General features: G+C 40.6%; 1 long non-coding RNA gene across 3 annotated transcripts in view; it reads left to right on the top strand.

Moving 5' to 3' along the window:
• Nucleotides 1-1,897: 1,897 nt before the first annotated feature.
• The window catches only part of LOC102724008 (uncharacterized), a 29,333-nt gene continuing 7,423 nt past the window's right edge, over nucleotides 1,898-23,807 (top strand). Inside the window, exons 1-3 of one of the 3 annotated variants that reach the window (XR_427030.4) lie at nucleotides 1,898-2,051; nucleotides 11,291-11,373; nucleotides 14,658-14,920. This is a non-coding gene — a long non-coding RNA (uncharacterized LOC102724008). Of the gene's footprint in view, nucleotides 2,052-11,290; nucleotides 11,374-14,134; nucleotides 14,596-14,657; nucleotides 14,921-23,807 lie in introns of those variants that run through there. The other 2 variants (XR_940075.3, XR_001739457.2) reach the window with 2 other exon arrangements.

Here is a 23,807-nt window from a genome sequence, read left to right on the forward strand (position 1 = left end):
CTTTCCTTTCTTCCTTCATCCTTCCCTTCTTCCTGCCTTCAAACATCTACTTGATGTTTGCCAAACATTGTGGGAGGCCCCTGATAAAACATACCATGGTCGGGTGCTGTGGTTCACACCTGTAATCCCAGCACTTTGGGAAGCCAAGGCAAGAGGATTGCTTGAATCCAGGGGTTTGAGACAAGCCTGGGCAACAAAGTGAGAGCCCATCTCTACAAAAATAAAAATTAAAACATTTGCCAGGCACAGTGGCATGTGCCTGTAGTCCCAACTACTTATGTGGCTGAGGCAGGAGGATCACTTGAGCCCAGGAGTTTGAGGCTGGCTGCAGTGAGCTATGATCACACCACCCCTGTACTCCACTCCAGCCCAGGCAACAGAGCAAGATCCTGTCTCTTAAGAAAAAAAAAAAAAAGATAATATGCCCTGCTGGTAATCCAGGTAAATAGACATTATCATCTGACCGAGGTCTGCTCTGTGATAGAGATGTGCTCAGTTTCCCACGGGAGCTTAGAGAGGGGACACTAATGCAGCCTTGGAGACAAAGGAAAACCTGTAGGATTTTGGGATTCCTAACTGAAGTCTTGGAGGGTGAATAGAAATTAGCTACCTAAAGAAGGAAAAATCTGAACTAACATAACAACATCAGTAATAATATTTTATGGTAATAAAGCTACAATTAATGCATTATTTATACGAATAATGTTTGTTAAACACTAGGTGCCAGGCACAGTTCTAGGTGCTGAAAATATGAAGGTAGACAAGATAAAATTTCTCTCTCATGAAGCTTAGGGGCAGACAGTCAATAAATACATAGATAATATATGGAATTATCAAATTGTGGTAAGTGCTATGGAGAACAACAGAGCAAGGGAAAAGGAAAGGGAGGTTTGGGTTAAGGGAGGGAGAGGACATTACTAATTTTTATAGGGTAGCTAGGGAAGGCCTCACTAATACAGTGGCATCTGAGCAGAGGACAAAAGGTGGGAAGGGAAGGACCCTGGGGGAAGAAGTAGAGACCAGAAGAATACCATAGGCAAAGTTCTTGAGGTGGGAGCATGCCAGGTGTGTTTGGAAGACAGTGTGACCGGAGTTGCAGCAGGGAGGGAAAGAGTATTTGGAGAGGAAGGGGGTGAGAGGAGGGCAGCGTTCCCATCATGTAGGGCATTTGGGACCACAGGAGGACAGGAGCATGTGCTGCCTATGAGATGGAAGCCACTAGAGGGTTTTGAGCAGAGGAATGGCTAAAAACTTGGGTTTTAAAGGGATCATTTTGTTTACTCTGTTAAGAAGATTGGAAGAGGCAAGACTGGATATAACATCACTAATTAGGAGACTATTGCAATAATCCAGGAGAAATTGATAGTGGCTTGAACCAGGATGGCAACAGTTGATACAGTTGATGTTGTCATATTCCAGATATATGTTGAAGGTGGAATCACAAGATTTGCTGACAGACTGGATATCAAGTGTGAACAAAAGCAAATAATCATGAATGACTCCCAAGTTGTTGGCCTAAACAACTAGAAGCACAGACCTGTCATTTACTAAGATGAAAATCCTGTAGGACACGCAGATTTGGGGTGGGAGTAGGCAGGTAATCAGACATTTGGTTTTGGACACATCAAGTTTGAGATGCCTATCAGATATTCATGTGGAGATATCAAGTGCTGTAATATGTAGAAAGTTCCAGAGTTTAGAGGAGAAGTGTAGCTAAAGACATAAATTAGAATCTCCCTGCTTGGATTGCTTCCAAGCCATGACCCTCCCTGGGTGAGATTCCCAAGTGGGGAAGTATAGATAAAGAAGATGTCTAATGATTGGGCCATTGGGTACTTGGGACACTCCACTAGTCAGGGAAATGAGGTGGAACCAGCAAAGAAGACAGAAACAACAGCCACAGAGCTAAAAAGGAGAAGCAAGTGAGTCTCCAAAACTAAGTGAAAAAGATGTGTTTTGAAGAAAAGGGAGTGAGCAACTGTGTTGAGTGCTGAAGACAGGTCAAGTATAAAGAGGGCTGAGATTGGACCACTGGATTTGGCAGCATGGAGGTCAGTAGTGACTGCAAGAGCTACTTCAGTGGGGCGGTAGGAGCGAGTGCTTGGTTGGAGTGCATTTGAGACAAAATAGCTTTTAACTATTTGAATTCTGTATGCCTTGGTTTCCTTATCTATAAAATTTGGAGTAACTCAGTACTATTCTCATAGAGTTTTTGTCATAAAAATTAAAGGAAAAAACACATCTGAAGTGCCTGATTAAGGTGTAGTATGTAGTAAGTCCTTAGTAAACATAAGCTATTGTTATTATTAAAATATTATTTTTATTTCAACCATCCAAAGGAAAAATTGGCATTTACTTTTCTTTACCTTAATCAACTTTTTTATAATGCTCAGATAAGAATTGTCACATTTAATGACCATTTTTCTCTTTTTTACATTTATTTTCTCTAAGTACAGAAATAAAATGAGGGTATATAGACAAATACCATAAAAGGGGAGGAGAGGAAGTAGAAACAGATAGAGATAGGACACCTTTAAGGAGTTTTGATGCAAAGGAGCAGAAGAATCTAGCGGTGCTGGAGGGTATTTTTGTTTTTGCTTTTTAAGTTGAGAAAAATAACAATGTATGGCAGGGAAAATGATCCAGTCAAGAGGGGAAAATTAATAAAAAAAGATGAGAATGTCTTTGAGAGGGAAAGAGGAATGGAATCTGGTATTCAAGTGTACAGGCTGGCCTTAGGAATGTAGTCAGTTCATCTGTTATCGAGGGACAGGCAGCACCTACAGGTGTAAATGCAGGTGGGTGGGCAGATGTAGCAGAATTTCTCATCTAAGGCTTTTTGCTGCTTTCCTAATAAGACATGAAGCAAGATCCTCAGCTGAGAATAAGGAGGGGGAGAGGTGTTGGGGGTTTGAGAAAAGATGTGAAAAGTGAAGCAGTCATCTAAGAGATGAGGAAAATGAATATATTAAGGAAGGGTAGGAGGATTATCTTGCAGCACTGAGGACCTAATTGAGATTGGTGTTGTCTTAGTCCGTTTTTTGTTCCTCTAACAGAATACCTGAGACTGGGTAGTTTATAAAGAAAAGAAATTCAGTTTTTACAGTTCTAGAAGCTGAAAGTCCAAGACTGAGGAGCTGCATCTGATGAGGGCCTTCTTGCTGATGGGAACTCTCCAGAGAGTCCTGAGGTGGTACAGGGCATCACATGGCAACAGGAAAAGAACATGCAAACTGGCTTTTATAACAGACCCGATCTGTTGATAACCTATTAACCCATTCATCTATTAATCCATGAATCACCTCTTAAAGGCCCCTCCTCTTAGTATTGTTACATTGGGAATAACATTTCAATATGAATTTAGAGGGGACAAAATTGAATCCATAGCAGTGGTGATGAATTTAACATGGCACAGTCAGCATATTTTCCAATCATGTTTGTCTATGTGGATACTCATTCAGAGGAATTGGAAAGCTGGCATCATCAGGAGGGATTTCATCAGGTGAGTACAATGAAAGGAGAGAGAGGTAAGAGATTAGGTGGGTATGCAAAGGGTAATTGTAGGAAAGAAACATGCAAACTAAGGTGGAAAAGCAAGGAAGTGAAGCAATGAGGAGGTGAGGTATAATGCAATGGTAGAATCCTGACAAGGTACTAGAGGGATGGCATGGGAAAATTAGGAGGTGGGGTCAGAGAGTAGGTTATTTTAAAATGAGATGGAAAAGAAGTTGCAGCTATTGGTAATGACAAGGCATGACCATGCAGTGGGGGCTAAGGTAGGTTGGAAGACAAGACCATTGGAGGAGAGGAGAGGCAGAGGTCAAAGACTTGAGAGGTCAGTGCATGGAAAGGATTATCTGTATGTCATAGAAATTATTCAGAATTAAGACAAGATTACCTTTGGAGACAATGACAGTGAGACAAGAGCTAAACTCTTCAAGGAATGAAGTGGAGTGGTCCAAGATCTGCAGATGGCTGCAAAAAGAAGGGCTGGCAGTTGTTTAATGCAAAGAGATTCGAATTTTGTGGGGAGGGGTGGTGCAAGTTTAGGAAGAGCAAGAGAAAATGGTCCTAAAGCAGCAATAGGAACACACAGGTTATGCATCCCTCCTCCAGGCCCAGTGGAACATGGGATGTGACAGAAAAGCAGCCACCTCTTGAGAGAACTGCAAAGGAAGCAGTGCCCCCGCAGACAGCTAATTTTCAGTTAGGCCGAGAAGGTGAAGAGAGTATAGGAAATTTTGCTAATGGTGAACTGCACATTCCAGGGAGCACAGTGAAAGTTCTTGTGTTATGGAGGGGAAGGAAATAGGATCAGGTGAAAAAATATACAGAGCATTATGGGCATACAGTCCTACCTTGTGGCAATACAGGGCACACATATAAGGATAAAGGGCAGGACGAGACTTGCAGCAATGGTCTCCCAGGTAGACTGTGGCAGTGAGACCATAACTCTGGTGGGAGAGGAAGGGATGAGGGTTTTACCAGGAGCACGAAGACTCTGGGCTCTGTCTTCTCTCCTGTAGGGAGGAGGCTAGGAGAGGTGTGATGCCACAGAAGCATGGGGCTATTACAGGAGCCCAGGTAAGGGATGATGATGGCTTGGGTTATTGTAATAGTGGAGCTACCAAGGAGTAGCTGAATAAGTAATGTATTTTTGAGATAGAGCTCAGAGGACTAGCTAATGGACTGATTGATGGGGCAGGACTGGAAGCAGGGACTGGGAGAAAGGGAAATCAAGGATGGTTCTAGGTTTTGGTCTGAGAAATGGATGACTGAGAAACAGGTATGGCAATGAGTGACTAAAGAAAGAGCTTTTCAGATAAAGTTTGAGGTGCCTATTTAATGTTTAGATGGAGATAGTGAGTAAGCTGTTGGATGTCTGAAGCTGTAAGTAGAGGAGCTTGGTGACCTTCAGCAAGTTATGTAATTTCCCTAAGCCTATTTCCAACTGGAAAATATAACTATCTATTATTGTTATCTATGTGATGTGAGAATTAAATATGGTAATACTGTAAGTGCTTAAGCTAGAGCCTGGCTCTTGTGCAGAGTGATGCGTAAGAGACAATTAATTATCCCTGAGGGAAAAATAGGGGTTCACTGAACCTAAAGTGACTTTTCCAGAGCTGCTGAATAGTGAGCCCCACAATCAAGGCTTGAATACCAGTCTACGCTCTTTCTACTACACTAGTGGCTCAATTAGAAGTAATATTTATTGACAATCCTCTGCAGCCAGGGGACAATTCTTACCATAGTATCAAAGAATACAAAGAGATATAAACTATTCTTAGAGTGTTTTCATATCAGGCATCTCACTTGTTTCTCCAGAGAGTTATGATATAGGGAAGAGGAAAGTATAGGCTATGAAATCCAAACTGACCTGGTTCAGATCTCAGATTATAATTGTGCTCTTAGATTATTCATCATAACAGCAGATTTGGGGATCTTCGTTTTCTAAAAAGTAAAATTATTAAGTATTTACTCCTTGGCTTTCTGTAGCAACCAAATTCCATTGGTGTAACCTGCTTTTTAAAAATGTTCTTAACTAACTTAAGATCTACATTTCCAGTTAAATAATTACACACACCCCCACCCACAGTAATTACCATTTTCTGAATACTAGTTCTAGACTATTAGCCTTCTTATGTCAACTTTAGAAATCCTAGAGTCTTGTTAATTTTCTCTACGAAAGAGAAGAAAATTGTCCTCCTAATCAGACTCACTACCACTGTTCAATATCCCATCAGAGATAATCTGCCTCATTTTCCTGTGAAATAGAGCTTAGTTCACAGAAGATGATAGAGCTTACTCAGAACAGAAAATGAGCTCTTAGAGGTCTTTGGGAACATTAATTGCAATGGATTAATAATTTACCTTTAACAGTTTTCAACAAATACTTCTTGAGAAAAATCTTATCAAAATACTATAAGCTTTTGCTGCTGGTTAATCCTGTCGATAGCATGATGAACAAATGGACTCAGCTTTCATAACTTCAGGAATACAAAGCTCATTATTCAACTTCCATCCATGGCTTTAGTAAACAAAGATAGAGATTCTGCCCTTAAGGTACACCCTGACTATAGGGGATACAGGCAAGAAAACAAAGAGGTGTATAGTACAGAGCATAACAGATGCTTAAGTTGTAACAGGGTGGAGGCACAGAAGTGGAATAAGGCTTTGTGGGGATGAGGTTGCTGCCAGGGATCATTTCAGAGAATGGTATACCCATGCTGCGAAGGACAGGCCTTGAAAAACCAAACCTGGCACAACTTGCATTTACAAACTGTTTTATTTAATGGAAATGCCTTTTTATAACTTCTATTCATTTATTTAACATTTACTGGGGGCCAGGCAGAGTGGTTCACGCCTGTAATTCCAGCAACTTGGGAGGCCGAGGCAGGCGGATTACCTGAGGTCAGGAGCTTGAGACCAGTCTGGCCAACAAGGTGAAACCCCGTCTCTACTAAAAATACAAAAATTAGCCCGGCGTGGTGGCTTGCGCTGTAATCCCAGCTACTTGGGAGGCTGAGGCAGAAGAATCACTTAAAGCTGGGAGGCGAAGTTTGCAATGAGGCCAGATCGCACCACTGCAATCCAGCCTGGGCAAATGCTTTTTTTTTTTTTTAAGACGGATCTCACTCTGTCACAGAGGCTAGAGTGCAGTGGCGCGATCTTGGTTTGTTGCAACCTCTGCCTTCCAGGTTCAAGCTATTCTCTTGCCTCAGCCTCCCAAGTTGCTAGGATTACAAGCGCCCATCAGCACGCCCAGCTAATTTTTGTATTTTTAGTAGAGATGGGGTTTCACCAGGTAGGCCAGGCTGGTCTCGAAATACTGACATCAAGTGATCCACCTGCCTCAGCCTCCCAAAGTGGTGGGATAACAGGCGTCAGCCATCGTGCCTGGCCACTTCTGCATCTTCACCATTCTGAAAATAAATGATCTGTACAAATGTAGAGTTTAATCAGAACTCTCCCAGATAGCAGTTTTTACTAAGTATTCATTAAAGTCTTGTCTGGCTAAGAAGGATGTGAGACTACAGGTCCTAATATTACTTAATTTCATATTGAGAAATTCCTGTGCTTGCAACCCTAACTCTAGCCAGCTGACTTACAAATGCCCATCATTGGTCATGACAGGAAAATTATTCACTGCATAATTTTTACAGAAGGTAAGTAAGAGGCGCTATCACCAGATGTAAAGGATGGTATATTAACAGACTCCCACTTACCAACTTCTACCTTACAAAAGCAGACAGATATAACCAAAGCCCTGAGCCAGGGTAAAAGCAGGTTAATTCTGCCCACTGACAGATGGCATTAGTAGTAGCTGCAAGCCTTTCAGTACCTGCTACAGCTGCACACTAAATGATTGTGAAATTCATTGAAAATAAAGTCTGCTTTCCAAACCCCAGAAACAAAGAGCATCAGAGCTGAAAGGGATATGAGAGGTCATCTCGTGTAGGCTTTGCCAGTAGATTTTAAAGCTTTATCTAGCAACTTTCCCCACAATGAACCTTTTGCATCTTGTCAACTTCTCTGATTTTCCTGGAACCTCAACCTGTGTTGAGAATCCCACCCCATATTCCTCTCTTACTCCTTCCCACATTCATGGAATGGCTTAAATATCATCACCCTACCCTGTGTTGGGATTTCACAGTTGCAAAGAAATTAAAAAGTGGCAGAATAATGAGAAAACGTTCTGGAGTGATGATAATATCCTATATATTGATAAGAGTGTGGGTCATACAAACATATGTATTTGTCAACACTTTGGAATGGTACACTAAAGATTTGCAAAAAACCCAAAACACTCTTAAAAATATATTGAACTCTAATAAATGAAGACAGGCTGAAGTATTTAGAGATGAAATATGTTGATGTCCACAAATGTATCAAAAATATCAGATGGACTGATGGATGGACAAAAGGATAGATAGACAGGACAAAGGTCCCCATCCAGACCCCAAGAGAGGGCTCCCGGATCTTGTGCAAGAAAGAATTCAGAGCGAGTCTGCAGTGCAAAGTAAAAGCAAGTTTATTAAAAAAGTAAAATGGTGAAAGGACAGCTACTCCATAGACAGAGTAGGATGTTCCCAAAAGTAAGAGGAGGAACGCACCCACCCTAGGTACAATGCTTGCATATACGGGGAGATGTGCTCTGCTACTAGGGTTTGTGATAGAAAATTAATTTTCTTAATTACTATATTTTGCAAGAATCCATATTATTATCTTTAAAGCAAAATTAGGAATGCCTTTATTCTCCAGACTTGGGATATCTGGACACTCCCAAGTCAGGGTCTGTTTTAGTAAACATTATTAATTTGTTCCCTTAAACATACACATCTAGAGGCTAGGAATGCCTAACTTTCTGGGAATGCAACCCAGCAAGTCCCAGCCTCATTTTCCTAGCCTCACTCAAAATGGAGTCGTTCTTGTTTGACTGCCTCTGACAGATAGATAGACCATTATGTGAGAAGGCAAACATGGTAAATGTTCATTGCAGAATCTAGGTGGTTACATGGATGTTTACTGGATAGTTCTTTTAATTTGATTTTTCTGAAAATTTTTCATAAGAAATTTAAATAATTTATAATTTAATGATACATAAAATGCTAGTAAAAATAACTAATTAACAAATACATTGTTTAAGTAGTAACAAATGACATTTAAAATTTTTTACAATAAAATGTTCGGTAGGGGAAAGTGGCAGAATCGTTCTTCTTAGGCCAACTCGTCATTTTACAGATGAGGAAACTAATGCTTAGAGAGCATGTCTGATACTTCTGATCCTATTATTCCACTTTTTAAGATCTCCAAAGGCTCCCTCATTCCCTTTATAATAAAACCCAAGCTCTCTGGCTTGGCACACAAAGCACTTCATAACCTGTCCCTGACTCTTTCTCTGACCACATCCTCCATCCTACATGCAGAAGAGCACAGCCATGAGACACATGAGCAATGTAGCAGGCTAATAATCTGCCATCCTTTTAATATGATAGCTCTTTTAAAACTAATTTTTACTTATCAAAGCAATATATGTACATAGCTTAAAATGTCAAGTAGTTCAAAAGGCTTGTAACAAAAAACAGCCGTATTTTCACGCAGCTCTATCCCACCCCCAACATTCCATTATCCAGAGACAATCACTTTCAGCTGTATTAGCTGTTTCTCTTTGCCTCCAATTCCTGGATTTGTGATTCTCTCTCTATTCATCAAGTTAGATATTATCTATTGATTTCATTTTGTTGGTGGTGAGGCTATTAGCGCTGCTACTCTTCCTCTGCCCCTTCTCCCATTCTCCCATTCTCCCAACGTAATTGTATCACATCTTTTGGTAAAATCCATATTCAGTTCAATTAATATGACTGTAAATATTGTTTTCTGATGAATCAAGAAAAGTGTTGAGATTACATTTTTTCTTGCATATCTTTTAATTTATTTTGAAGTTGGCAATTGCTTACGTTTTTCCATTTGCTTAGATTTCATTGAACCAATTGTAAGTGTTCCCACAATAAACCAACAGCTGTGTAAAATGCTTCTCAACAAAAACTTTCACATGACCAACCTCTTAGATAATCTAATAGTAGTTCCATTTTCTTCCTCCTGGCACCATCCTTCCTGGAGCCCCCAGTCCCACCTAATTCACACAGGTTATTTTCTGGGCTTGCCACCTGGCCTAGTCTTATCTGTTGGTCTTCAGGGACTTCCTTTGGTCATCATTCTGGAGATGCCCTTCACCTGACTCCTGTGTGTAATCCCCTGTTCCTTGGATCTTTCTTGGTTTATTTCATCATTTGGTGGAACAAATCATCCAGTAGTTTCCTGAGAAAGGATATGTGAAAAGAACGTCTTTGTGTGATGTTACTTTTATAAAAATGTGTATATCCTATCCTCACCCATAATCAAAGGTTTGTTTTGGTGGGTGAGTATAGAATTCTAGGTTAAAAATCATTTTTACTAAGATTTTCAATGGCATTATTCCATTAGCTTCCAGCTCTTAATGTTGTTGAGAAGTCCGGTAGTATTCTTTTACTCCAATCCTTTGGAATGATTTTTTTTTTCTCTTTGAAAGCCTTTTGTCTTCCTCTGAATTTTTGTTTTTATTCTGCTGGCTTCCACCTACGTTATTGGGGGATTTAATCACATCTCCCGTGATTTTTGTGTATCTTTTCTATTCATTTTGTGAAATGAAAATAAATCTCAGGACCCCTGAAATCACTAAGCCAAAGGGAAAAGTCAAGCTGGAAACTGTATAAGACAAACCTGCCTCCCATTTTATTACTAAATAAGATAGCTACAAAGAGTTTTTTTTTGTTTGTTTGTTTGTTTTTTAACTACATACCTCCTTCACAATTTGCTCACAAGGAAATTCCTTGTGGATAAAGGATAGACAGAACTCAAAGTCATCCGTCTGTTCACCTGAGACAACTGCCTATCTGACTGCTTACTCTGCCCTATTGTTTCACTAAGGCGGACTGACATAAGTGTCTACTCCTCTACTCTATTCTCACATGTAAATTGTATATTCAGTGAAAGGCTAATCAGAAACTCAAAAGAATGCAAACTTTTGTCTTTTATCTATCTAAGACCTGGAAGCTTCTTCTTCCCCTTTGAGTTGTTCTGCCTTTCTGGATCAAAACAATGTACATCTTACACATATTCATTGATGTCTCATGTCTCTCTAAAATGTATAAAACCAAGCTGTGCCCTGCCCACCTTGGGCACATATCATCTGGACCTCCTAAGGCTGTGTCAGGGGCACATCTTTAACCTTGGGAAAATAAACTTTTGAAATTGATTGAGATCTGTCTCAGATACTTTTGGGTTAACAAATTATATTAAATAAAACAAGGCATTTGAAAGATGTTTGGAAGCTATTTATATGTTGGTGGCCCTGTCTTCTGATGGCCTTTACTAGATTATAAACAGATGGCCAGCAAACTTTTTCATTTGGTATCCCTACAATTAATATAAGTAGGTCTCTTCTCCGGTGGTATTCGATTTCTCCAGAGAAGGATCACCCCGTCTCTATGAGTGGAGGGGAAAGAGGTAGTGCCGCTAAACCTGGCAGAGAAGGGCATGGAGGCTCTTACTTTCCTCTTTTCAGACTCTAGCACCTCACTGCCAGCTCTCCTCTGTGTGGTACCTGATTTCCTAAGACTTTCTAGCTTAGCTTTTCCATAAACCCATCTTCCTATTTTGTAGAGTGGGTGGGAACCTAGACATCTAGGGGCTTCTTACACACTCTTACTCCCTATTTTCACTCCTTCACCTAGCCTCTGTCTTCCAGGTACCTGATGCCACCAATTCCTGAGTTTTTCTGCTGTTCAGTGGAGTGGACTATCGCCTTCAAATTAGCCTGGCCCTGGGCAGGTACGTTAGTTTGACCTTCCTCCTCTTTAGTTCAGTGCTGCCCCTAAATGGACTTCTCCTTGGAGGAGATGGCTAGAAAATATAAAGTTCATTGATTATATCTATAAGCACCTACTGAATACCACTTGGGTACTGGGAATAAAAAGATAAATAAGATCCAGTCCCTGACCTCAAGGAGCTCATAGGCGAATTGTCAAGAGAATCACATAAACAAACAACTGCAGTACAGTGTTAAGAGTGTAGCAGTCCAGATGCTTAGAAGACATAGAGAGAAAAGAGGCTGTAATTTCCTCTGCAGGAGCAGTGTTTCAGAGCGGTGACACAAGCTGAGTTTTGAAAAACATAAATACGAGTTTACCAGCCAAATAGGAAGAGGCAAAATATTCCAAGAAGAGGGACAAAAACATGGGCAAAGGTTCATTTCTTCATCTGTTTAAACATATTTATTAAGAGCTTGCACTAGGTAGTCATTGGGAATACAATTCTTTTGTTGTTGTTGTAGAGACAGGGTCTCACTCTGTTGTCCAGGCTGGAGTACAGTGGTACAATCACAGCTCACTGCAGCCTCTACCTCCTGGGGTTAAGCAATCCTCTCACCTCAGCTTCCTGAGTAGCTGGGACTACAGGTGCACACTACCACACTGGGCTAATTTTTTCTAATTTTTAAATTTTTTTTGTAGAGACAAGGTCTCACTATGTTGCCCAGGCTGGTGTTGAGTTCCTGGTCTCAAGCAATCCACCTGCCTTGAACTCCCAAAGTGTTTGGATTACAGGCATGAGCCACCATGCCTGGCCAGGGATACAATTCTGAACAGAACGAAGTCCCTGTTCTTGAAGTTTGCAGAATGACAAAATCAGACAATCAAATTATCAGACAAATATCTAATTACGAACTGTGATAATTGTCACAGATGGAAAGTAATAAGAATGGTAGGGTTGGGAGGGAGGGGTCCCAGCATGGTGTATTCAGGGAACCATAAGCAATTCTATATGGCTGGATAGGAGCAGAACGCCCAGCTATCTTGGACGGGGCAACAAGTCAATTGTTCCCATTTTACCCTTGGGCTGATCCATACTCGTAAACAGTTCTTCAACCCCTGGACAGATTATTATGAATTCTACAGTTCTTTCCTTCTTTCAGTAAGTTTAGCTTTTCTGAGAATTTCACTTACTTTTAAAAATTATGAAGACTCAAGTGAGACTTAACCTGTCATATGGCTGCTTGCTGCCTCTGTCAACATGTTCGAGTCCATCTGGAGTTTCTCAGAATCTTTCCATGTTTTGTTTTGTTTTTTTTTTAATGTCTCCAAACAATTTAGCATCATCAGCCACATTCTCCAACTTAGAGTTCACCTTTTCTTGCCAAATGCATTAAGCACACTAACAGTTGGAAATTTATTTTTATTTTTATTTTTTGAGATGGAGTCTCGCTCTGTCACCAGGCTGCAGTGCAGTGGCGCCATCTCGGCTCACCGCAACCTCCGATGGCCTGGTTCAAGCGATTCTCCTGCCTCAGCCTCCCGAGTAGCTGGGATTACAGGCACGCACCACCATGCCCAGCTAATTTTTGTATTTTTAGTAGAGACGGGGTTTCACCATGTTGGCCAGTTTGGTCTCAACCTCCTGACCTCATGATCCGCCCACCTTGGCCTCCCAAATTGCAGGGATTAAAGGTGTGAGCCACCGCACCCAGCCAGAGACATTTTTAAAAGCTGACTTTGGATATACTCTCTCTTCTCCTATTAGAAATGACTAGTATGTTTTATTCTCATTTAGCAAACCAAGACTGCTAAGATTTCTGCTTGTGTGATATTATCAAGTTGTGGTGTCACTGGCACTGGCTTCCAGGTTATACCAGGCTGGGTTCCTCATTTGCACACTAACATCTACAGTGTCCAGATCTACATTTATAGAGAATACACACCTAGTGCAGCCTATTAAATGTTTCACCTAGAAATGATGTCCAGGGCACCCCACTCAGACTGACCACCAAAGGCCCTCAGCAAAATGGCCAAGTAGGTATAGTTTGCCTTTGGTGCCTACTCATAGCCCCCATCTTTGCCTCATCCCCATGTCCTTTTTCCCCAGCCACAGTTTTTTTGCGTTCAGCTCTACTGCAAAAAAAAAAAAAAAAAAATTTAGAGGCACAAGGGAGGCATTGAGAGAGATGAAGAGAATTTTTTTTTTTAATGACTCTGACAGTAAATGATTCTTTCTGGGGGCATGCGGATGCTTATGTGTCCACCCCCAAACTGCTCTTACACATCTTCAAAGAGGCCCTCAGAGAAGGAGAAGGGGGTCTGTGGGAACAAGATAAGGGAGAGAAAAGGTTCAGAAAGGAGAAGTTCTGATGACAGCCTTGCCCTTGACAGCAGAAGAGAAGATATCTACATTTCTGGGTAACAGATAAGGATAAAGTTGAACACCATGTCAGGTTTTTTTGGAGACTTTGTACTTCCCCATGTTGTTATTTTTGTTATTACCTTCTGTTTTTCCATGATAATTAGTCCCAAACGAAGCCCTTAAAATGGAAAGGGTCAGTGTATTTATTTTGGTGCACAGCAAGAAGGGAGTATATCCCACCCTACATTCACTCTTGAAGAAAAATGAGAACCAAGAACTTGAAAGTTTAACTGGGAAGTCTGAGAGTTCCCCAACAATCCTTAGAGCAATGCAAACCTCCTCAACTCCAAATGCTCCATGTTTTAACGTGACCTTTCCTTTCTTACCCTTAATCCAAACTTCAATGTGGGTAAAACAGGAAGAGAGAGTACCTGGATCACCATGGCAAAATCGGAGAAGGCGTCACAGAAGAGGAAGATACGTATGCGCTTCTTAATGTGGCATCATCTCTAACAAAATACTTGCATAATGCACATACATCAGCCACAGTGCCTGGGTCAGCCTCCACGGTATCTTCAGGGCAAGCATCACTTTCCATTTCCCAAAAGGAATAGCTACTTTCTATTTTGTTTTTGGAAAAGGAAGGTAGGGCAGAGTGAGCCCTAAGAGAAACATCCAGTGGAAACATGTTTTAGAGTCTGCTAGATTCACTTCAGAGCCCGTGATTCTCTTGCATGTATTCCTGAAAGTGATTATATTAACCAGACACAAATGGGAAACATTTTACATTAATGACTATAGCTGTGTTCCCTTTATCTTGCCAAAGAAAGTGTCTATATGTTTTCCTTTTATTCTGTTAATTATTCAGCATCAATGAAAAGTACCCTTGCAAAATTTTTTTACCAAAACCAGGTTTCCTATGTCACTTTCATACATAATAGGAAATGAAGACCCTGAATCAGCCCATCAGAAGCAGGAGATCCCTTTCGTCGACCTTCTCATTCCATCTCTATGCTGGAGCATTCTTGTGACCTAACCATATTGAAACTGCCTTTGCAAAATATGACTGAGACAGTGAAAGAGGTATAACTTCACCAATTCCATCTTGGTTCTAACCTCCAAGCTCTCCTTGATCATTCCTAGGCATAGGCTGAACTAACTTTGGGAGAAACTTAGTTTATAGTTTACAATTTAAAACAGACATGGTAACAGCCCTTTCCTAAAGCAGGCCTCCTTCTTGCCTGGGAACTAGATTGCCTCCGTAGGACTAACATTAGCCACAAGATTAGAAATTATGGTTTAGGAGTCACGCAACTGGAGGCTATAAGATTCTGACCCTCCCTAAACTGCTCCTAAGATCAGTGCTTGAGATATTTTGCAGACCCTGCACTTGATGGATCAGCTGGCACTACCCAGATCAATAAACTGGCTCATCTGATCCTGGGTGGCCCACCCAGGAACTGACTCAGTTCAGGAAGACAGCTTCAACTCCCTGTGATTTCATCCCTAACCAATCAGTACTCCCGGCTCCCCCCATCCACCAAGTTGTCCTTAAAAACTGCTCCAGAGTCTCGGGGAGACTGATTTGAGTAACAATAAAACACCAGTCTCCCGCACAGCGAGCTCTGTGTCAATTACTCTTTCTCTATTGCAATTCCCCTGTCTTGAGAAATCAGCTCTGTCTAGGCAGTGGGCAAGGTAAACCCCTTGGGTGGTTCCAAATTGTTTACCTTCCAGTCTTCTAGGATGACCTACCATACACATCCTCAAGAGTCTCTTGAGTAGCACCCATTTCCTTCTCTAGCTTCCCTTCCCTTTGCTTCTTGGGTTTGGGGCTGGTGGCTGGAAGGAATTAGGAGGCTATAGCCTGTTTTAGGGTAGAGTGCAGTAGAGTAGTGGTTATGAGGGTGGCCTCTGCAGTCTCACTGCCTGTATTACAATCCTTGTTTCCTCCACTTAACAGCAGTGTTGCCTTGAGCAAATATCTAAATTCCCAAAGCCTATAAAATGAGGATCACAAACCCTTAACATAGCCAGGTTGACAGTGGCACAAACCTGACTTCTGCTAAAATAACAACTAATAATCCCAAATTGGGTACCCCACTTACACTTGTCAGTAAAGACAACTGACAGCCCTAATCCTGAGTGGGCATTCCACCTGAGTGGGAAGACAACACTTCTAAGCAGCCCAGCACTTATATAATATCTAATCAATAAAGCCAGATATTGCCAGCCAATAAGAGACACTCTAAGACTTGGTTTTTTAATATAGAAGAGAGCTAGTTTGTGGTTTTAGCTTTAGAAGATGTGGTAGCCAACCCCAAGGTGGCCCCCCAATGATCTACACCTCCAGGTATTCATGCCCTTGGGTAGTTCTCTCCTACATTGTGTCAGAGTTGGTCTATGTGATGGATAGAATATGGCAGAAATGATGAAATGTCAATTACAAGGTTAAGTTACAAAAGACATTGTGGCTTCTGCCTTGCTTTCTCTTGTACTGCACTTTCTCAGGGACGCCCATTGCCATGGCTTGAGGCCTAGAGAAGAGGCCCATGAGGCAAGGAACTGAAGTCTTCTTCAGTCTTCCTACATCCAGCAAGGAACTCAGGTCTTTTCAATGAGTGCAGTCAGCTACCACTCTTGCCAAGAGCCATGAGTGTCTGTCATCTTAGAAGCCAATCCTCCATCCCAATCAAGCCTTCAGATGACTGCAGGCTTGGCCAACATCTTGTCTACAACTTCACGAGACACTGTAAGCCAGGAACGTTCAGCTAAGCTGCTCCTAGATTTCTTACCCTTGGAAACTGTGAGATAATAAATGTTTGTTGTTTTAAGCTGCTAAACTTGAGGTAACTTTTGGGAGTACCCAGCAATACACAACTAACATAAAACACTTTATCTGTCTTTTTTTTTTTTTTTTTTTTTGAGACGGTGTTTCGCTCTGTCCCCCAGGCTAGAGTGCAGTGGTGTGATCTCAGCTCACTGCAATCTGCACCTCCCAGGTTCAAGTGATTCTCCTGCCTCAGCCTCCCAAGTAGCTGGGATTACAGGCATGCGCCACCATGCCTGGTTAATTTTTGTATTTTTAGTAGAGATGGGGTTTCACCATGTTGGCCAGGCTGGTCTTGAACTCCTGACATCAAGTGATCCACCTGCCTTGGCCTCCCAAAGTGCTGGGATTACAGTCCTGAGCCACCACGCCCAGCCCACTTTCTCTCTTGAACCCCAGCCCCTAGGGCCAAAACTCCACTGTATGCCTGGTCAACAGTAAAATAAATTTCCACTCAGATCTCACACTGTGGCAATAATATGCCTATTTCATCAAGTTGGGAGGATTAAGCAGATAGTGCATGTGAAGTGTTTAGTACGAGCCCAGTACATGGTAAGCACTCAACTAATGCTATTTACCACTATTATACAGAGACATAGGCCTGTGGGTGGTTTCTCTGGCTCTTGGTGTCCAAGAGGCTTAAGGCACAGCATAATTAATGAGGACTTAGAGCTCAGGGGACAGGGAAGGAAATCCGAATGGATCTTCCCCACTCCTAGTAGCTCAGAGGGAGCAAGCCTCCAGCTGCTACAGCCAGGACTCCCTTCTATGCGGGCAGAAGGAACAGGTCAGAGAAGAAACATCCCCTTTTCTTGGTCCCTCAATTGACAAAGCAGTATGTAAAATGATAGAAAAAATGTACCAAGTGAGGAAAGGGAAAGAAACAGGAAGTTAAGGTAGGAAAGTTATCTTCATCTGCTTCTTGATTTTGCCCTGGAACTACCTCGTTTATTTTCAGCTTTCCCTGGGCCAAGCAGAATCTGTGCACAACCATGCATTCTAGAGCTTAGGACAAAGCACAAGTCTACTGTCTAGCATCTGCCTGTGGCCTAGGCCATCTCCGGTATGTATGGGCTGTAAGAAAAGTGGTAGGCTCTGGGGGTGCAAGTCAGGAGGTTTATTACTGGATCATTTATTGTCAGGGGAACCATGCCAGAAGGGAAAGGTAGTTGCTTGGAATACAAAGAACAAAGTGCAGACTCTGATCTGAAAGTCTGTCAATCCATGTGCCAAACTAAAGTAATTAGGCAGGAAATAAACTGAAGAACAATTGAGAGCCAAGAGTGGTCAGAGACAGACTAAAGTAAAATGGGTCACTTGGAGCAATCATGGAATTAATTTGGTGAATGTTGTTTATATGCTGAAGCCATTATTGTTAAATACACTAAATGTAAGCCTCACAATTTTCATCTTTTTGATCACAGTTATATTCCTAGTACCTAGATCAGAGCCTGGCGATAGTAGGTGCTTCATAAATATTTGTTAAGTGAACGAATGAATGAATGAATGAATGAATGCAAATGTGATTCAACACAGCTCGAGAAGTTGGGGTAAATTTAGAAAGACCTATTATTTAAGTATACACACAGATTTATTTTAATTTATACAGTTATGATTCACACTTTTTTTAGGGACAATCTCCCATATAACTCTGTAGCCAATGTGCATTATGCATTCTGCTTGGAGACTTGGTCAGGTTTCAAGTTCTTCCTGACTAAAAACTTTGAGTTCCACTCACCAGTTAGACAAATTAGAGTGTTCTAGCTTTGTGGGCTATGGAAATAGAAGGGAGAAACAAGCTGGCTGTTACAAATATGTCATATGAGGAAATTATAGTTTGAATTCACTGGTCAGTACCAACATATTAACAGAATTAATTGTCCTTCAAGGGTTGTAAGCTGCCATATCTTTAAGGGGTAGAAATACTCAACTAGCTGTCTAACATATGGGCCCCCAAATGATCTACTCTTAGAGAAACTCATTTGATGAGACCAACTGTTTCTCAGCCTAAGACTCTCCAGGATCACTGCATTTCTGTTGTTCCATTTGTATGAATAAACAAGAAACCTAAGAAATGTCTATATTTTCTCTGCTCTTCCCAGGCTGGACTAGAGATGTGAACTCTACTTGTTTGACAAGAATCCTTTACTCTCTACCTTTAGGACTTTCAATCATTTCAGAAATCTCTTGCTCAGTAAACAAATCTCTCTTTACAAGGAGATAATGCAGCACAAAGTTCAGCTCAGAGTCTATGCAGGAAAGACTGCAGTTACCCATCGATTGTCCACAGTCGACTTGGTTTGAGCTTCCGCAGAGCTCAACTTGGGAACAGTACTGTCACCTGGAGCCATTCTGTGCTGAATGACAGCCATCTGCTTTCCATGTGCCCTTTCTATTTGGACAAATAAAAATAATCACCCCACATGACAATCCATAAATTCATAGTTCTTCAAAGACACTTAGCCCCACTTCTGAGTAGTAAGACCTCTGACAGCAATTCTTTGGGTATCAAGAATGGATCACCTAGAGCAAACCTGCGAAATATTGAGAACGTGCATTTCTAACAAGAAAAATGCTCTTGATTCCTGTTTTGGAAACTTTTATTTTCCCATCTGTCTGTAATTGGATTACTCAGATGATGCACAAAGAGTGAGTGAACAATTATTTACATGAACCCTGGCTTAAGACCCTAAATTCTGACCATACTGATACTAGTTTAAAATAATATATGATTTGTTATAATCCTATTATTATTCCTATTCATAACATGTGTCCTTATCTTCAAAGATAATCCACTATTGAAATATTAGGGATTTGGGAGTTGCGGATAAAAGAAGTGAATTAAATTCATTCATTCAACAAGTATTATTGTACCTACTATCTTGGCCTGATACCCCTGCAGTGGGATGCAGGGGTGATTTTATATTTATTGAGGGCCATCCTTGTGACTTTCCCACTTTCATCTTCATTCAGAAGATACCTGTGTCTTTGTAGCTATCTATTAATTGATTTATAACATTATATGCAGCACTATACCAATGTGCACTATAATTACTTTTTTAAAGGTGGAGTTTTATGACTCTTATATTGTGTGCATCATGAAGTTTGGACAGTTAGCCTGGAACAAATATATTCACTTTTTTAGTTCTCCTTTCTGTCAAAGATTATTTTGTCAAAACAAATATAACAAGGAAAACACATATTTTGAGAATCAGTCTTACTGTTATTACAGTGCTGTAAAATTTGCCACTCAACACTACTGATGACCTAAATAACAACAGTTGAGAAGCAGCCAGAGTCCCAGGCTTCCCACATACCACTATTGCTTAGACAAATAAAAAGCACGTGGTGAGAAACTTCCAGCATCAAAAAAGAGAATCAAAAGCAAAGGTTTACAGCTTTGATGCTGTCTTGCCTTTGAGAAATCCCTCCAGAGGACAAACGGCACTGGGGTGACTACTGTTTAAAATAAAAGTCTTCCTAGAACCACTATGAATGCAGTGAAAAGAAACAGACTTTAATATACACACATAGCTGGGCGTGGTGGTGCACGCCTGTAGTCCCAGCTACTCAGGAGGCTAAGGGTGGGAGGATTGCTTGAGCTCAGGAGTCCAAGGCTGCAGTGAGCTATGATGGTGCTACTACACTCCAGCCTGGACAACAGAGCAAGGCCCCAACTCTAAAATAAATAAATAATAAAAATACACACATACATATGTACATCATATACATATATGCACACATATATGCACACACATATACGCACACATATATGCACACACATATGCACACACATATATGCACACATATGTATGCACATATATGCACACCTATGTATACATATATGCACACCCATGTATACACATATATGCACACCTATGTATACACATATGCATACATATATGTATACATATATATGTATACACATATACACACATATATGTATACACATATATACATATATAACTATATTATATAAAGTAGTATATGTCTGAGGGAAAGTAATGGGAAGAAGTAAGGGAACCAAAGGGAAACCGTGTGTGAACTCCTCCCACCTCAGGACTTTGAAAGGTAATACTTGGCTTTTTGAAGTAAGCACCTCTCTGAAGGGGACAGTGATCAGAATGAATTCACACCTGGTGAGCCTGTTTTGTTTTGTTAGCATAGCACTAAGCAGCAGAATATGCTGGAAACTTTCTTTGTACAAAGTGCACCTTAACTTCTGCAACTGCTGTGAAGTTGGTCATTTTAGGATTCATAATTTGGAAAAGAAAATGAAAGTACCCTGGTGTTTTTACTTATTCCAACCACTAAAATGGAAGTTTCATGAGAGCACAGATGTGCTCACAGCTATGACCCTACATCTATAAATTGATGGTCCTTAATAAATATTTGTCAGTTGAAGGCCAGGCACAGTGGCTCACGCCTGTAATCCCAGCACTTTGGGAGGCTGAGGCAGGCAGATCACTTGAGGTCAGGAGTTTGAGACAAGCCTGGCCAACATGGTGAAACCCCATCTCTACTAAAAATAGAAAAATTAGCTGGGTGTGGTGGCACGCGCCTGTAATCCCAGCTACTCAGGAGGCTGAGGCAGGAGAATCACTTGAACCCAGGAGGTGGAGGTTTCAGTGAGCCAAGATCGCACCACTGCATTCCAGCCTGGGTAACAGAGCAAGACTCCGTCTCAAAAAAAAAAAAAATTGTTAGTTGAATAAATGGAGGAAATGAAGGATCAATCAATGAGATCAATGAGTATTGAGTGCTTTCTATATGTAATGGAGAATACAGGAATAGAAGGCCTAATTGCTGCCTACAGGAAACTTTGCAACCAGATAGAGACACAAAGTTAACCACCATAAAGTGATTGGAAAACAATGTTCAATAGTAATAATGACAATAATGAAAGCTGGGTTATGAGCAGTTCCATTTGTAATGCTCTTAAGGTACTTGGAAACAGAGAGATAATGCTGAATTAGGCCTTAAAAATTGATAGGATTTAAATAACACTGCATGCTTAGTAACCCTACTCCTCCAAGTGGCACCGTGGGGATTCTGGGGCATATCCTCAGATAGTCTGGGTCTGGTTCTAATCATTTAAAAATTTTTCAAATGTGTTAAATTAATCTGTCAGATCTACCTGTAAGAGTGGCACTGCCTTCATTAGAGGAAGAAGGAAAGACAAAGAATGATTTTATAATATAGCTATGGTGACCATATATTTAGAGCTCCAACTCCAGTCATACAATAGCACATCATATTTGGAATTGAGACTCTGTAGAAAAATCTATGCTCAATAAATACTTTCAAATTGTCTGATTGATACAGATCCCATGGCCCTCGTCTCACTCATCACAGGTAATGAGTTATTGTGATATAAAGTGGATGCTGTTTCTTTGCCTTAATGATACTTCAGGAAAGTTAGCTTTCAGAGAGAGCTTTGCTGAAGACTTAAAGACTGATAAGGGTAACAAATTGATCTCCGGGTAGCCCCTTAACATCTTAAAGTCAAAAGATCAATAGATGGAATGAATCAAAGCTGTTTTGTTTGCCTAATCTGAATAGAGTTGAGGATGTAGACCTGCACAGACAGTGAGGGATCCTCTAGCTTCTCAGAAAGATTTTGTGATACCACTAAACTAACACTGCCATACCTATACATACACATTCCCAGGAGTTCCACTTAATATTTTTTGCAAGAATATCTTGAATGGCAAGACTTTTTATTTCCTACTTTACTGGCCTCTTTCTTGTTTTCTTCCTACACTGTCCTTAAGTCAGGTTGCAGATAAAATGTGTGTTTGTCTGTTATTCCAGGAACAGTCCTTGTTGAATTTAATGGAGAAATGGGGTCACACTAGGACTTTTGGAAGACATTGACAAGTGTCCTAAAATGAAAGCAATGTACAGCAAAAGTCTCTTCTAAAGCTCTCTGTGTTTTGCATTATTCTTAAGGAAAATAAAAACAAAAAGAAGACAAATCTTTTGATTGAGAAACAAAAGACAGGTACAGAAAAATATACACAAAAAATGTACAGTATAGCTTTATGAGTCATTATGGCAAACACCTTTGTAACCACCAACCAAGCCAAAAAACAGAACTCTGCCAACCCAACCCCAGCGCAGAAGCTTCTCCAAATGCTCATTCAAATTATAACCTCCTCTTTCCCCAAAAGTAACCAGTATCTGGGTACTAAAGCAATTCAATTTCTTTACAGAATTATCACCCAAATGTAATAAAACATCCTATGTGCATCCCTAGACTATTGTTTTGTCTTGTCTGTTAACATTTTTTTTTCTTTTAATTCTATTCCAAGTTATAGGTTCCTTTTCCAGTTCTCTTCTTTATACTCTATCTGTTGAGGAACCCAGACCATCTACTCCCCTACACTCTGAATGTTGCTGATTATGCACTCATGAAGCAGTTCAACCAGTTTCTCTGTCCTCTTTATGTCCCACAGATTGGCAGCTAGATCTGGGGATATGATCATACTCAACTTTGATTCCTTTGGGAAGACTAGGCGATGGTGTTTTGTTTCATATGGAGACATGTCTGCCTGTCTCTTTTTGTACCATCAGCAGCTGTTGGTGCTCAGTGCCTATGTCCATTAAATCATTGGGGGTTAAAAAGTGGTGACACTTTATATCATTTCTTTTTAATTTACTTGTTGAAATAGTTTTATATAAAGATGGTTTCCCTCATTAACTATTTAGTAATATAATGGCACTGTTCATATAAGGTAGGACAAATGCTTAATTCTTTTCCATTATTAATTTTCAAGACAATGATTTAGCTGTCTATCATCTTCTGAAGAAGACCAACTTAAAACAAACAACTATATTTATACATACATATATGTGTATAAATATATAAACTTGAACACATGTATTTAATTATAATTGATGAGTTTTAATAAATTATTATCAACTTTGAAGCTCAAATTGTTATCATCCTGTGTTTAGCCAATGGAAATCTCTTTAGGCTGGCTCCTGGGTCTTTGGACATGACCCTGGTAAGTCCTTGTTCTGTTTTTTTTTTTTTTTTTTTTTTTTTGAGACAGTCTTGCTCTATCTCCCAGGCTGGAGTGCAGTGGCACAATCTTGGCACACTGCAACCTCTGCCTCCCGAGTTCAAGCAATTCTCATGCCTCAGCCTCCCGAGTAGCTGGGATTACAGGCACCTGCCACCATGCCCAGCTAATTTTTGTTTTAGTAGAGATGTGGTTTCACTGTGTTGGCCAGGCTGGCCTTGAACTCCTGACCT

This window comes from Homo sapiens, chromosome 2 (assembly GCF_000001405.40).
Source record: "Homo sapiens chromosome 2, GRCh38.p14 Primary Assembly".
In the NCBI taxonomy this organism is placed as follows: Eukaryota; Metazoa; Chordata; class Mammalia; order Primates; family Hominidae; genus Homo; species Homo sapiens.